Source organism: Homo sapiens, chromosome 1, assembly GCF_000001405.40.
Source record: "Homo sapiens chromosome 1, GRCh38.p14 Primary Assembly".
NCBI classification, from domain to species: Eukaryota; Metazoa; Chordata; class Mammalia; order Primates; family Hominidae; genus Homo; species Homo sapiens.
In genome coordinates, this window is record NC_000001.11 from 64,600,942 (window position 1) to 64,615,146 (window position 14,205).

General features: G+C 40.7%; 1 protein-coding gene across 5 annotated transcripts in view; it reads left to right on the top strand.

Moving 5' to 3' along the window:
• CACHD1 (cache domain containing 1) overlaps positions 1 to 14,205 on the top strand; it is a 222,925-nt gene that overhangs the window by 130,813 nt on the left and 77,907 nt on the right. For all 5 annotated transcript variants that reach the window (NM_020925.4, XM_047426234.1, XM_047426235.1 and 2 more), the window contains one exon: positions 1,865 to 1,971. In NM_020925.4, the coding sequence (NP_065976.3) occupies positions 1,865 to 1,971 (107 nt within the window). The remainder of the gene's footprint in view (positions 1 to 1,864; positions 1,972 to 14,205) is intronic.

Here is a 14,205-nt window from a genome sequence, read left to right on the forward strand (position 1 = left end):
AGTGTCTCTGTTATGCTAGCCACATTTCAAATGCTCAGTAGCCACATGTGTCTAACATGTTGGACAGTGCAAATATAATACATTTTCATCATCCCAGAGACTTCTCTTGGATTGCCCTGGTCTAGACCAGCAGTGGTGAAACAGGTCTGGAATACCACCTGTTTTTGAAAATTAAGTTTTATTGGAACACAGCCATACTCAATTTTTTATGTATTTTCAGTAGCTGCTTTCACACTACAATGGCAGAGCAGTTGCAACAGTCTTTATGGCCCACAAAGCCTAAACTATTATCTATCCTTTTATAAAAACATCAGGGAGGGAATAGACTTAGTGTGGCTAGCTATAGCATAGAGAGAAGTGAGATTATAGTGATAGTGCCTTGCCAGCATGGACACAGCAGCAGCTGCTGTATTAATCTCTTATTTTCCCTCCATCTGTGGCTTCTGAGGCAGCAGTCTTCTCGTCTAGACAAACTGGAGCAGGTCCAAGGAAGGGCAGCCACGTTGGTGAAGCAACTGTGTCCTTTGAGGCACAGTTGACATTGTCGGTGTAACTCTGCACTAGGTTAGAGCCTGGACTAACAGTAAAATCCAGCTATCTCCTTCTTTGAGATGGTATGAAATAAAGCAAGACTGTTTTTAGCTTTTGCTGTTGAAACCAACATACCATGTGAAAACCTAGTCCCCTTGCTTGTACAATCAGTTCCACGTGTTCTTATGTGTTCTTATGTGTTAGGAGATGTGATCAACAGATAATTAAAGTTCATGCCAGTGGTCAAATGGATATTGCTTTTTAGGAATATTTCTCCTAGCTTTATAGCTTCTCTATTTGGGTTCATGGAGTTGCATTAGTGGTTCCTGAAGTTTACATTTTAACACAAATTTTTTTAAAACCTTATTTCAAGTTGCATTTATGTGAGGATCTCTTAGAAACTTTGAGAGTCCTCTCAGGGTCTGAAATCCTAAATAGTTTACTTAGAAGTTCAAGATCCTTCACTTTTGTTACTCCTGGATGAAATTCACTTAAAAATACTCTTTATGACTATATGTAAATAAGCTGGTATGTTTTCCTATTATATTCTTTCAGATTGTTGGTTGCTATAGCAATGGATCATTGATTCCACTAATATTTATTGATAAGCTACTAGCTAGAATAATAGCATTGTTCTAGCTCTAGTACTAGCATTACACTACCACTGGAAATCAAAAGACTTTTGCCTTATTTGCATGACAGCCTAGCAGGTACAAGCTGTGTCATGTACTATAAGAGGAACTTCCATACATTATTTTTAATTTTTTTTATGGCTTTGGAAAATAAGTTTTATTATCTTTTTCAGATAAGAAAACTGAGACCCAGAAAAATTGAATAATCTTTCTAATAGTGACAGAGCAGGGTTTCACATCTAGACCATTCCTACTCCACACCCATTCAACCTTCACTACTGTCTATTTTTGTACTTGGTCATTGGTTTTCAAATAGGATAATTTAAAGAATTCTGTTTTACATGTAACATCAGAGCTCCCATCTGATTTTTTTTTTTTTTTTGTAGCTCTATTTTGAATTTTGTCATCTATTTTCTGTATGATTTTATCAGTAGTACTGACTTAAGTTCATTGGAGAAAAGTCGATTTGAAGAATGGTTGTTTTTATCTTTGAATTGAATTTGATTTCTAAAACCTTCTAGAGGCAGGTGTTCCCCCCACCACACACAGAGTTCCGAAATTATTTTTTTGAATATTTAAATCTAAATCATAGTTGTACTGTTTACGGGCTGACCTATCTTGTACACAATGTAAACCATTATTTTTGTTGGTTGGTTTTTCTGGCCTGAATAAGTATTGCTAATTCTCTCCTATTGTTTCAGATTCGATGGGAACTTTAATACCAATGTGTCTAGAACAATTAGTTGTGATCGACTTTCTACTACTGTTAATAGCCGGGCCTTCAATCCAGGACGAGACTTAAATTCAGGTCAGTAATCCATTGGCTTTATAAAGATGAACTGTATTCTACTGCATTCAAGTTGAATAAACATATTGCTTCAATTTTTTTTTTTAATTTTTGAAGAGAAGTATTATATACTTAAGATTGGATATTTCTTGCTGGAAAGTTAACCCTCAAGAGAGGGAGAGGAAGAAGAAAAAATCAAGCTTACATCTTTTTTTTTTTTTTTTTTTTTTTTTGAAACAGTCTCACTCTGTTGCCCAGGCTGGAGTGCAGTGCCGCGATCTCGGCTCACTGCAAGCTCCGCCTCCCGGGTTCACACCATTCTCCTGCCTCAGCCTCCCGAGTAGCTGGGACTACAGGCGCCCACCACCACACCCGGTTAATTTTTTGTATTTTTAGTAGAGACGGGTTTTCACTGTGTTAGCCAGGATGGTCTCAATCTCCTGACCTCATGATCTGCTGGCCTTGGCCTCCCAAAGTGCTGAGATTACAGGCGTGAGCCACCACGCCCGGCCAATATCTTAAGCTTCTACTAGATAGCTATATATGGTACATGCCAAATACCTTTCTATGCTCTTCAATCTATTAACTCATTTATCATGAATTTTACATCTGTTATTTTAAAGGTTATTTTAGAGACCCAGTTATCTTTGCAATAGGAGGTATTGGATTTTCTTTGCATTCCCTAGTTACAATTTTTAATCTGTTTTGGGATTTTTCTGGAAAAATGCTGTGAGAGCTTTTCTATTAATAAACTTAGGGCCATAATACCATATACCAAGGTTGAACTTTCTTCCTGTTCTCATTGGAACTCAGCTGAAGGTGGTGTTAATAACTACTGGGTACTCATATTTATATAACTACTGGTTAGCTCCAAAGTGACCTGATATCTCCACTTTTTTGCCCTAGAGTTCCACTCCATATTTCTCTTTCTTTTTGTCTTATGTACTCTTGTTGATTGATACATCTCAGAACCTAGAGGGTTCACCGTTTAAGAGCTGGAAGGAACTTAAGAAATAATACCATCTCCAATCCTCAGATTTTACCAAGAAAAAAATCTAAAGCACGGGAACCCCCCCAAAGACTTTCCTTATTGCTGGAAAGACAAAGCATCCTTAAACATGAAGAACCATACTTCCCAAATTCCAGGTCTCATGTAGACACATAAAGCCGAAGAGAAAGGCAGAGGACCAGAATATTTACTTTTAGGGCCCCAGTAGGTCTCAGTTTGGGGCAGAAATTGTAATCTTTGGGAATTGTATACACAAATCATGTAATCTATTAGGTCTGAAAAGAATAAGCTGTAAGTTGCATGTTTCTTAGGCATAATAAAACTATAGCTGCTAGATAAATGATCCAACCTAAATCTGCAAATCTGCTAGGCATATCATTTTTCATTGGTCAGATCATCTGGAACCCTCTGTAGCAAGTGAGGTTTACTACTAGAAAGGAAGCTAAATGAGAATGGTTTTCATTACAAAAATAACAAAAGAGGGTAGACAAGGGCATGGAATGGGCAGGTAAATTAACGGGGAGGATTCCACAACTGGCACAGGGTGCAAAGCTGGAAATCGAGTCTCCAGGTTCCCAAATTCAGTTTTTTCCCTAAAACATTCCCAGGTACATGAGAGATGTTGCTTGTTCTGAAGACTTGAGGTTGAAATAGCAATCTGAATAGGATCAGATGTAAGCGTTCCAAAAATACATACTGTAATCCAACATTGTATGTAGTTAAATTTTTTACAAGTCATGGTAACTCATGGGTTGTTTCTTTTTTTCTTTGAGATAGAGTCTTGCTATGTTGCCCAGGCTGGAGTGCAGTGGCGTGATCATGGCTCACTGCAACCCCTGCCTCCCGGGTTCAAGCAATTCTCCTGCCTCAGCCTCCCAAGTAGCTGGGATTATAGGTGCCCACCACCACACCCAGCTAATTTTTGTATTTTTTGTGGAGATGGGGTTTCACCATGTTGGACAGGCTGGTCTCGAACTCCTAACCTTGTGGTCTACCCGCCTCGGCCTTCCAAAGTACTGGGATTACAGGCATGAGCCACCTCGCCTAGGCTTTTTTTCTTTTTTTTCTTTGTTTTTTTTTTTTAAAGACAGAGTCTTGCTCTGTCACCCAGGCTGGAGTGCAGTGATGCAGTCTTGGCTCACTGCAACCTCTGCCTTTTGGGTTCAAGCGATTCTCCTGCCTCAGTCTCCCAAGTAGCTGGGATTACAGACACCCACCACCGACCGGCTAATTTTTGTATTTTTAGTAGAGATAGGGTTTCACCATGTTGGCCAGGCTGGTCTCGAACTCCTAAACTCAGGTGGTCCACCTGCCTCGGCCTCCTAAAGTTCTGGGATTACAAGCATGAGCCACCGTGCCTACCAAGATTTAAGAATTAGTGTGCATTTATACAATAATTAAGTTTTAAATATTAGTGTGTATTTAAATAAGATCTAGATGGATCACACATAAATGTTAATAGTTATTTTTTAATGATGAAACAGTGGGATATTTTTACTTCCTTATTAATTTTCTTAATCTTAAATTAAGCATTTGCTGTTTTTATAATCAGGGAAAAAATAAAAAAAGAAGGAATTATGGACGACTTTCAAATGCATTTTCACTCCTTTCTAGTAGACAGTACCTTCCTTAACGTATTTCTGATAATAGATCCTAAGTCTGGTGTTGAGATTCTAGAAGCTCCATTAACCTCCTGGCTGTGTGACTGGGACAGTAGGAAAGGGCAGGCTTGGGCAGACTGAGTGGGGGGTGTGCTCACTTGGGGTCCAGAATGATGGTCCCCTGCCAAGACCACCCACATCAGTGGGTCGGTCAGATCTTGGAGGATCTGGAGGCTGTGGCAGCCAGGGCCTCATCCTCATTGCCTTATTTTTTGTCTATTTATTGTATTGTTTCTGATAATGAGCACATTGTTGAGATCTGGCTTCATTGTTAGAAGTAGTGTTACTTTTTCTTAGTGAATACTCAGGCCATTCTTCCAGGTTATGGACTTTAGCTTTTGCTCTGAATGAGTTAGAAGGCCATTGGGAGACTTTACACAGGGGAATCTGGGGAGTGGCCTCTCTAGTATATGGCCATAACCTGGAAGAATGGTCTCCTACCTGTTAAGTGGAAGGAATAAGTACAACTAGAAGTCATTTGACAAATATTTATTAAATGCCTTCTGCATAGTAAGTACTCTTTTGTTCTAGGTCAGGAGCTGTAAACACACACACACACACACACACACGCACACACACGCACACAGCTTATAATCTGGAGGCCAGGGGCCAGGAGACATAGAAACAAGTGATATGTTAGAAGATGATGAATGCTATCAAGGAAAAGTAAAGCAGAGATGAGACATAGGGAATACGGTTGGCTGTCGGGGGGAGGAGCAGATGACTTACTATTTCATCTAAGGGTTTGTGGGTGAGATCTGAGTAAGTGGGATTGTAGACTATGGGTTTATCTGGGGGCAGCATATCTGGGGCAAAGACCTTGAATTGAGTGACTGTTTGGTGTGCTTGGAAACTGCAAGAAGGCCACTGTAACTGTGGTGGTGTGAAAGAGCTGGGAGTAGATTAGGCCAGAGAGGCAGTCGGGGGCCAGGTCACCAAGAGCCTTATTTTACTGGCCATTATAAGGACTTTAGCTTTTGCTCTGAATGAGATAGAAAGCCATCATGTGGTGGGGTAGTTACATAGAGAAGTGACATGATTTGACTTCGGTTAAAAGGTTTACTGAGCCAAGACTAGACTGGACAAGGCAAAGGTAGAAGTAGGGGAAGACAACTTAGAAAGTTACTCCAAAATCCAGGCAGCAGATGATGATAGCATTAATAGTGCAGTGACAGTGGAGGTGATGAGAAGCAGTTGAATTCTGAATATGTTTTGAAGGTAGAATCAGTAGGATTTGCTGGTCCATTGGATGGTGGGCAGGGTAGGGGACCAGGTATGTGAGAGTAAGAGAGGAGTCCAGAAAGACTTCTAAGATCCTTGGCCTTACAAGGAGAAGGACAGAGTTGTCATTTATTGTGATGGGGAATGCTGGGAGAAGAGCAGGTTTGTGTGAGAGGCAGGTTATTAAAAGTTACGTTTGAGATGCTCATTGGATATCTAAGTAGAAGGGCCTCATAAGCAGTTGGATATACAAGTCTGCAGTCTAGGTAATAGCCAAGGCTAGAGATTCATTGTGTATAGGTAGTACTAAAATCATGAGGCTCATTTAGATCACGTAGCAAGTGACTGTGGGTAGAAAAGAGAAGGGCTCCAGGGACTGAGTCTTGGGGTGCTTTACTGCTGAGGTGACACTGAGATGAAGAGGAAGCTGGAAAGGGAGCTGAGAAGGGCAGTCAGGCAGGTAGAAAGAGGACCAAGAGGACTGTCTCCCTGAAGCCAAGTGAAGAAAGTGTTGCAAGAAAGAGGGAGAGATCAACTTTGTCACCTAGTCCCTGTATGCTGAGGGTCCAGAAAACCAGCCATATGATTTAGCAATGTAGAGGCTATGGGTGAGCTTGTCAAGGGTTGTTTGGTAGAATAGTAGCATAGGCTGATCCTAGAGGGTTCAAGCTCTGGAGAACGGAGGAGAGGAGTCAGAGGAAATAAGGACTTGAACTCCTGAGATTTGCTCAAAGGAAAGTTAGAAGGCCAGATGAGATCAAGAAGATATTTTTTAATTGAGAGAAATTATACTCAGTTTATGTGCCAAAGGGAATAATCCAGTAGAGATTGACACAAGAGCAAGGGGAGAAGATTGCTAGAGCTTTTTCCCTGATTAGGTAAGAGATACTGCATCACCAGTAGAGGACCTAGAAGCACAGAGCATTCATTCATAGCAAGAAGAGGAAAGGAAGAGTACATGGATGGAGATGCTCATATGATGATGGGTATGAACGTGGGGACACTCCCTTCTTAGTGATTCTGTTTTTTCAGAGAATTAGAAAGCAAGATCATCAGCTGAGAGTGAGGACCAGGGAATAAGCATTAAAGACCTGTTAGTGGTACTAAGATTACCTCCTGTTACTGAGGTTTAGACTGAAACTCAGTGCACAAATAATCCCAACAAAATGCTGATGTATTTCAGTGTTTATTTGTGAAGGAAGAGAGTTCAGATAGTTTGAAAATTCAGAGGGTGGGGAAGAAGAGTGTGGAGAGGGCAGAGGTAAGTAGAATATAAAGACCAGATCTTGAATTTTTATATTTCTGTGAGCATGTCTCAAGTATAACCTACTACATAACAAGAGTTGTTCTCAGCACAGTTGACACAGCTAGATTTACAAGCAGATTTTGGCAATATTCAGGTATTTAAGAACTGACTTGCTTGCATTTGAAGTTTTGCAACATTCTACTAGGCAGTGGCTACATCCCAAAGTCCACATACTTGAGCAGTTATTTGTAATATGAGAGGAGTGGGACATGGTGAAAGGTGACCTCAGAGTTCCCCCTTTTCCTCCTGTACAGCTCATGCCCCTTTTCAGAGCAGAATTAATGTACTTTGTAGGTTATCACATGTCTGATATTTACATCTGCAAGATGTCCAGCCTTAGGCTCTTTCATACTGTATATAATTCATCAATGGGCCCCTAATTGATAACACAGTTTCAGATTGCCTCTCAGACTAGCTGGAAGCAGACTCACATAAATTATAAACCATTCTTAACTTCATTTGTCCAAAACTGGGTCGTGTGTCCATTCATCCAACACATATGTGTATTCTTTTTCTTAAAACCACCCCAGCCAGATCCCTACTTTCTAAATTGACTCCTTGTCCCTGAGTCTATTCAAATAACTAAAGTTTGACAGTGCATGTGTTATATTATGGTTCTGGTAATGTTTTGCTCAGGTTCTTTCCTGCTTTTATCCCTACTTTCTCACTCTCTCTCTTTTTTTTCTTTTAAATTCCTGCTGAGCTATTTTCTTGTGCATGGCCTGATCCCTAAAGAGAGTTTATTTGAAGAGTCCAAGAGAAGTTGCCTCTTGCTCTCTTGAGTTATGCAATTGAGGTGAGAGTGAAGTAGGAGTTAGTCTTTCTCACTGAAAGAAAAAGCGTCTGGACTTTCTTTATTGCGTTTGATTTTAAAGAGCATTTGAAGTCGCAAACTTCGATCTTGGTAACATTGCAGTCTTCATTGAGAAACGGGATTCACGGGGTGTAAGGGGCATTTATAAGTCATGTTACAGAGGTAAATGCTATAGGATAGGATGTACAGGTGGGCCTTAGAGGCTGTCGATTGTTGTGGCTTCATCATTTCCTTCTATGAATGATAATGAGTAGCTATGTACTATGTGCTATAGGTTTTTCTCTTTAAAATACCATGAAAATTACCTTTTAAATATGCATTAGAAAAGTTATCCTGGTAACAATTCAATGAAAAGGCCATGTTCTACCTGAAATAAAGAAGAAAAATCAACCAAGCTAGAAATTTCTCATTCCTTTTTATGCCCAATTGCTTCAGCTTCATGATTGCATTAGTGTCATAAAATATGTAATTAGTTGTATAACATTTAAAAGCTGTTTAGTCACTCAGAAATGTAGATTCTTGAGCTTGTATGATTCAGTTTATATTCGTATGTATGTGTGTATACTTATGTATATGCATACACAGAATTAAGGAACTAAACAAACAAGGTCTCTTTCTTTACCTGCTTCCCCCTTCAAACTCTATTCCTATACTGCAAACTTATATCAAAGTTTGGTCTTTCTTATAGTTTCTCATAACGACCCTATTACACTGACTTCAGAAGATTTTGTTAGCCATATACTGGCATATATACATATATACACAACATATGTATATAAATACAAATATATATACACACTCACACTCATACTACATATCATAATGGATATAGCCTTTTTTTAACTTAGCAAATGTATCCTGAACTTTTTTATTTTCATAAAATAAGATTTTATGCAGTAAAATCAATAAAACAAATCTTAATTTGTTTATTTAAGCTCCCACATGTAGACATATTGTATTAGTCCACTCTCTTGCTGCTAATAATAAAGACATACCTGAGACTAGGTAATTTATAAAGGAAAGAGGTTTAATTGACTCACAGTTCAGCATGGCTGGGGAGGCCTCAGGAAACTTACAATCATGACTGAAGGGGAAGCAAACATGTCCTTCTTCACATGGCAGCAGCAAGGAGAAGTGAAGAGTGAAGCAGGGAGGAAAAGCCCCTTATAAAACGATCAGATCTCCTGAGAACTCACTTTCACAAGAACAGCATGAAGGTAACCATCCCCATGATTCAGTTACCTCCCACTGGGTCCCTCCCATGACACATGGGGATTATGGAAACTACAGTTCAAGATGAGATTTAGGTGGGGACACAGCCAAACCATATCATTCTGCCTCAGCCCCTCTCAAAACTAATGTCCTGACAATTCAAAACATAATCATGCCCTTCTAAGAGTCCCCCAAAGTCTTAACTCATTCCAGGATTAACTCAAAAGTCCAAGTCCACAGTCTCATCTGAGACAAGGCAAGTCCCTTCCATCTATGAGCTGGTAAAATCAAAAGCAAGTTAGTTACTTCCTAGATACAATGGGGGTACAGGCATTGGGCAAATAGACCTGTTACAAATGGGAGAAATTGGCCAAAACAAAGGGGCTACAGGCCCCATGCAAGTCGAAAATCAAAGAGGGCAGTCATTAAACTTTAAAGTTCCAAAATGATCTCCTTTGACTAGATGTCCCACATCCAGGGGTATGCTGATACAAGAGATGAGCTCCCACGGCCTGGGGCAGCTCCGCCCATGTGGCTTTGCAGGGTAAGCCCACCTCCTGGCTCCTATCACGGGCTAGCCTTGAGTGTTTGCAGCTTTTCCAGGTGCACAGTGCAAGCTGTCAGTGAATCTACCATTCTGGAGTCTGGAGGATGGTGGTCCTCTTCTCAAAACTTTGCTAGGCAGTGCCCCAGTGGGTACTCTGTGTGGGGGCTCCAACCCCACATCTCCCTTCCACACTGCCCTAGCAGAGGTTCTCCATGAGTGCCCCACCCCTACAGCAAACTTCTGCCTGGACATCCAGGTGTTTCCATACATCCTCTGAAATCTAGGCAGAGGCTCCCAAACCTCGGCTCTTGTCGCCTGCACACCCACAGGCCCAACACCACATGGAACCTGCCAAGACTTGGGGCTTGCATCCTCTGAAGCCATGGCCCAAGCTGTGCCTTGGCCCCTTTTAGCCATGGCTGGAGCTGGAGTGGCTGGGACACAGAGCACCACATCCTGAGGCAGCACAGACTAGTGGGTCCCTGAGCCTGGCCAAAGAAACCATTTATTCCTCTGAGGCCTCTGGGCCTGTGATGGGAGGGGCTGCTCTGAAGGTCTGTGACATGCCCTGGAGACATTTTCCTCATTGTCTTGGCTGTTAACATTCGGCTCCTTGTTACTTAGGCAAATTTCTGCAGCTGGCTTGAATTTCTCCCCAGGAAATGGGTTTTTCTTTTCTACCACATGGTCATGCTGCACATTTTCCAAAATTTATGCTCTGCTTCCCTTTTAAATATAAATTCCAGTTTTAGATAATCTCTTTGTTCATGCATATATGCATACAGTTTTAGAAACAGCAAGGTCAACTCTTGAATGCATTGTTGCTTAGAAATTTCTTCCTTGCCAGATACCCTAAATCATCTCTCTCAAGTTGAAAGTTTCACAGATTGCCAGGGCAGAAGCAAAAGTCTCTTTGCTAAAGCATAGCAAGAGTGGCCTTTGCTCCAGTTCCCAATAAGTTCCTCATCCACATGTGAGACCACCTCAGCCTGGACCTCATTGTCCATATCACTGTCAGCATTTTGGTCCAAGCCATTCAACAAGTCTCTAGGAAGTTCCAGACTTTCCCTCATCTTCCTGTTTTCTTCAGAGCCCTCCAATCTCTGCTGGTTACCCAGTCCCAAAGTCACTTCCACATTCTCAGGTATCTTTATAGCAGTGCCTCGCTACCTCATTGCCAATTTTCTGTATTAATCCATCCTCATACTGCTATACAGATACTACATGAGACTGAGGAGTTTGTGAAGAAAAGAGGCTTAATTGACTCACAGTTCCACATGGCTATGGAGGCCTCGGGAAACTTGTAATCATGTTGGAAGGCAAAGGGCAAGCAAGGCATGTCTTACATGGCAACAGGAGGGGATTGGGGTGGGGGAACTGCCAAACACTTAATGCATCAGATTTAGTGAGAACTCACTATCATGAGAATAGCATGGGGGAAACTGCCCCCATGATCCAATTGCCTCATACCAGGTTTCTCCCTAACATGTGAGGATTACAATTCAAGATGAGGTTTGGGTGGGGACACAGAGCCAAAACCTATCATGAACCATAAAAGCATAATTCAAATGAAAGTTATTATATTATCTTAATACAAAGTATCTCTAATAGAAGTTTTTTTATAGGATTCCATATATCAATACCATTTTTGTATGCATTTACCTTTTCTATCATACTGTGAGATCACAGAAGCATTTATCTATCTTTATATCCTCATGAGCAACCATCTTGTTCAGTCTTCACTGTATAGGTGCTTATATAATGTTTATTGAATTAATGTTGGTGGTTACTTATCGTCGTTGTTGCTAAATTTTATAATGAGTATGTAAGGAAAATACCTAGGTCATTGAAGGATAAGTCTAGGTAGTAGTATATAGAACAATACTCAGATGTTTTCAGGGAAAATGAGTCACATGCATTTGGCTTTCTGCTTAGAATTAATTCTCTCCCTCTTTTCAAAAAACCTGGAAGCATTTGTTTACAGCATATTTTACTGAATATTTTAAGCCCACTCTGGAGCCCCACTCCTCAAAAAAAAAGATTCCCTTCTAAATATTGCTACCCATTGACAGTGCACCTGGTCACCCAAGAGCTCTGATGGAGATGTGCCAGGAGATTAATGTTGTTTTCATGCCTGCTAGTACAGTGTCCACTCTGCAGCCAATGGATCAAGGAGTGATTTTTACTTTCAAGTCTAATTATTTAAGAAATACATTTCATAAGGCTGTAGCTTTCATAGATAGTGATTTCTCTGATGGATCAGGGCAAAGTAAATTAACACCTTCTGGAAATGATTCACCATTCTAGATGCCATTAAGAACATTTGGGATTCATGGAAGGAGGTCAAAATATCAACATTAATAGGAGTTTGGAAGAAGTTGATTCTAACCTTCATGGATGACTTTGAGGGGCAAGATTTCAGTGGAGGAAGTCACTGCAAATGTGGTAGAAATACCAGGAAAACTAGAATTAGAAGTAGAGCCTGAAGATGTGCCTCAATTGGTATAATCTTATGATAAAACTTAGACAAATGAGGAGTTGCTTGTTATGGATGAGCAATGAAAATAGTTTCTTGAGATGGAATGTACTCCTAGTGAAGATGCTGTGAACATTGTTGAAATAACAACAAAGGACTTAGAATATTACATGAATTTAGCTGATGAAACAGCAGCTATAGTGTAGTGTAGTGTAAAAATATAAAAATATAAAAAAATAAAAATATAAATATAAAAAGACTATAGTGTTGTGTAAAAATAACTTTCATATGCACTGGGAAACCAAAAACTTCGTGTGACTCACTTTATTGCCTTACTCACTTTATTCCAGGGGTCGAGAACTGAGCTGCAGTATCTCCAAGGTATGGCTACGTGTTTAAAAGTCAGGCTCTCATTGCTCCCTGGAAGGGTTTCAAGTGACTCCTCTACAGTTTTGCTTGACTATTTTGTAGTAGTTGACATGTAAACCTCTTTTTTGAAACTCTCTTATCATTTGGTTTCTATAAAATTACTTTCTGCTATTTATCCTCTTATGTCTCTGTTTAATCCTTATTTTTCCTCTGGGGCTCCATTTTCTTTATTCTGTAGCTCAGAGTAGATGTCCCCACATATCCTCTCTTACCATCCTCCTCACCTCACTAATCATTATCTTCCTGAATGTTCTAAGTTTAGCCAGCTTCCCAGCTCCTGCCACATGCTGGTGAATTCACAATCTCTAGCTCCAGACCTGGTCTATTTCTGAGTTTATTTATTGAATAACCACCTTCAGGACACACATCTCACTGTGATTTTCCTGTAGGTACCACAAAACAAACTTTCCTTTGAATTTGCTCCCCAGTCTGGGTTCCCTGTCATATTCAGTATTACCTTCATTCTGGTTACACTGGGAATTTTTCCTCACCATTTTCCGCTCAGTACTTCTCCAGGTTTTATCCATTTTGACCTAATACGAGTCATTGTCCACGTAAGGGTATGAATAAATAAGTGAATATTTGTCAAGTATTCACTAAGTACTAGACCCCTGGCTGGGCATCTCCCTGTGCATTGCTCTTCTTTAGTCTAGACACCAGCTGGGCATCTGCCTATGGATTGCTTTTCTTGCCTGGTCTAGACACCTGGCTGGACATCTGCCTATGTGTTGCTCTTCTTATTTGGTCTGGACAGCTGAGTGGGCATCTGCCTATGCATTGTTCTTCTTATTTCATCTAAACACCTGGCTGGACACCTGTCTGTGTGTTGCTTTTCTTTTTGTGGTCTAGACACCTGGATGGACACCTGCCTATGGGTTGTTCTTCTTTGGTCTAGACATCTTGTTGGACATTTGCCTATAGGTTGCTCTTGTTTGGTCTAGACACCTGGCTGGACGTTTGCCTATAGGTTACTCTTGTTTGGTCTAGACACCCCGCTGGGTACCTGCTTGTGCATTGCTCTTCTTGTTAGGCCTAGATACCCGGCTGTGCATCTGCCTGTGTGTTGCTCTTGTTTGGTCTAGATACCGGCTGGGCATCTGCCTATGAGTGGCTCTTGATTGGTACACTGACTTGTGACATAGGTCTCATTGTCCTCTATTCATTGAAAAGGAAATTTGGCTCAGATTCTGTAGCTAAAAATGAGTCTTGAATCCCCTTTCTTTTTCCCCTGCTACTGTGGTAAATTTAGATCCTCATTTCTCTTCTAGAAGAATAATTAACGTAGAGACCCCCCAAAAGGTTTCCCTGCTTCTCTTCCCTCTTTTTCCACACATCCTAAACACACACTGAGTATTTTGAAAAAATCTCCTCTGTAACTGCATTTCTCAAAAGCCTCTGATGGCTCCCTTTACATCTAAGCTCACGTTGGAGACCCTGCACCCCCATCTTCTGCTCCTTTTCCTTGAGTCCTCCAGGCTCTAGCCTCAGGAAATCCCTTTCATTTCTTCAGAATCACCCACCTCCATCACCGCTCCGTACTTTTGATCACATTATTGTTTCATCCTACAGCACGCTGCCAG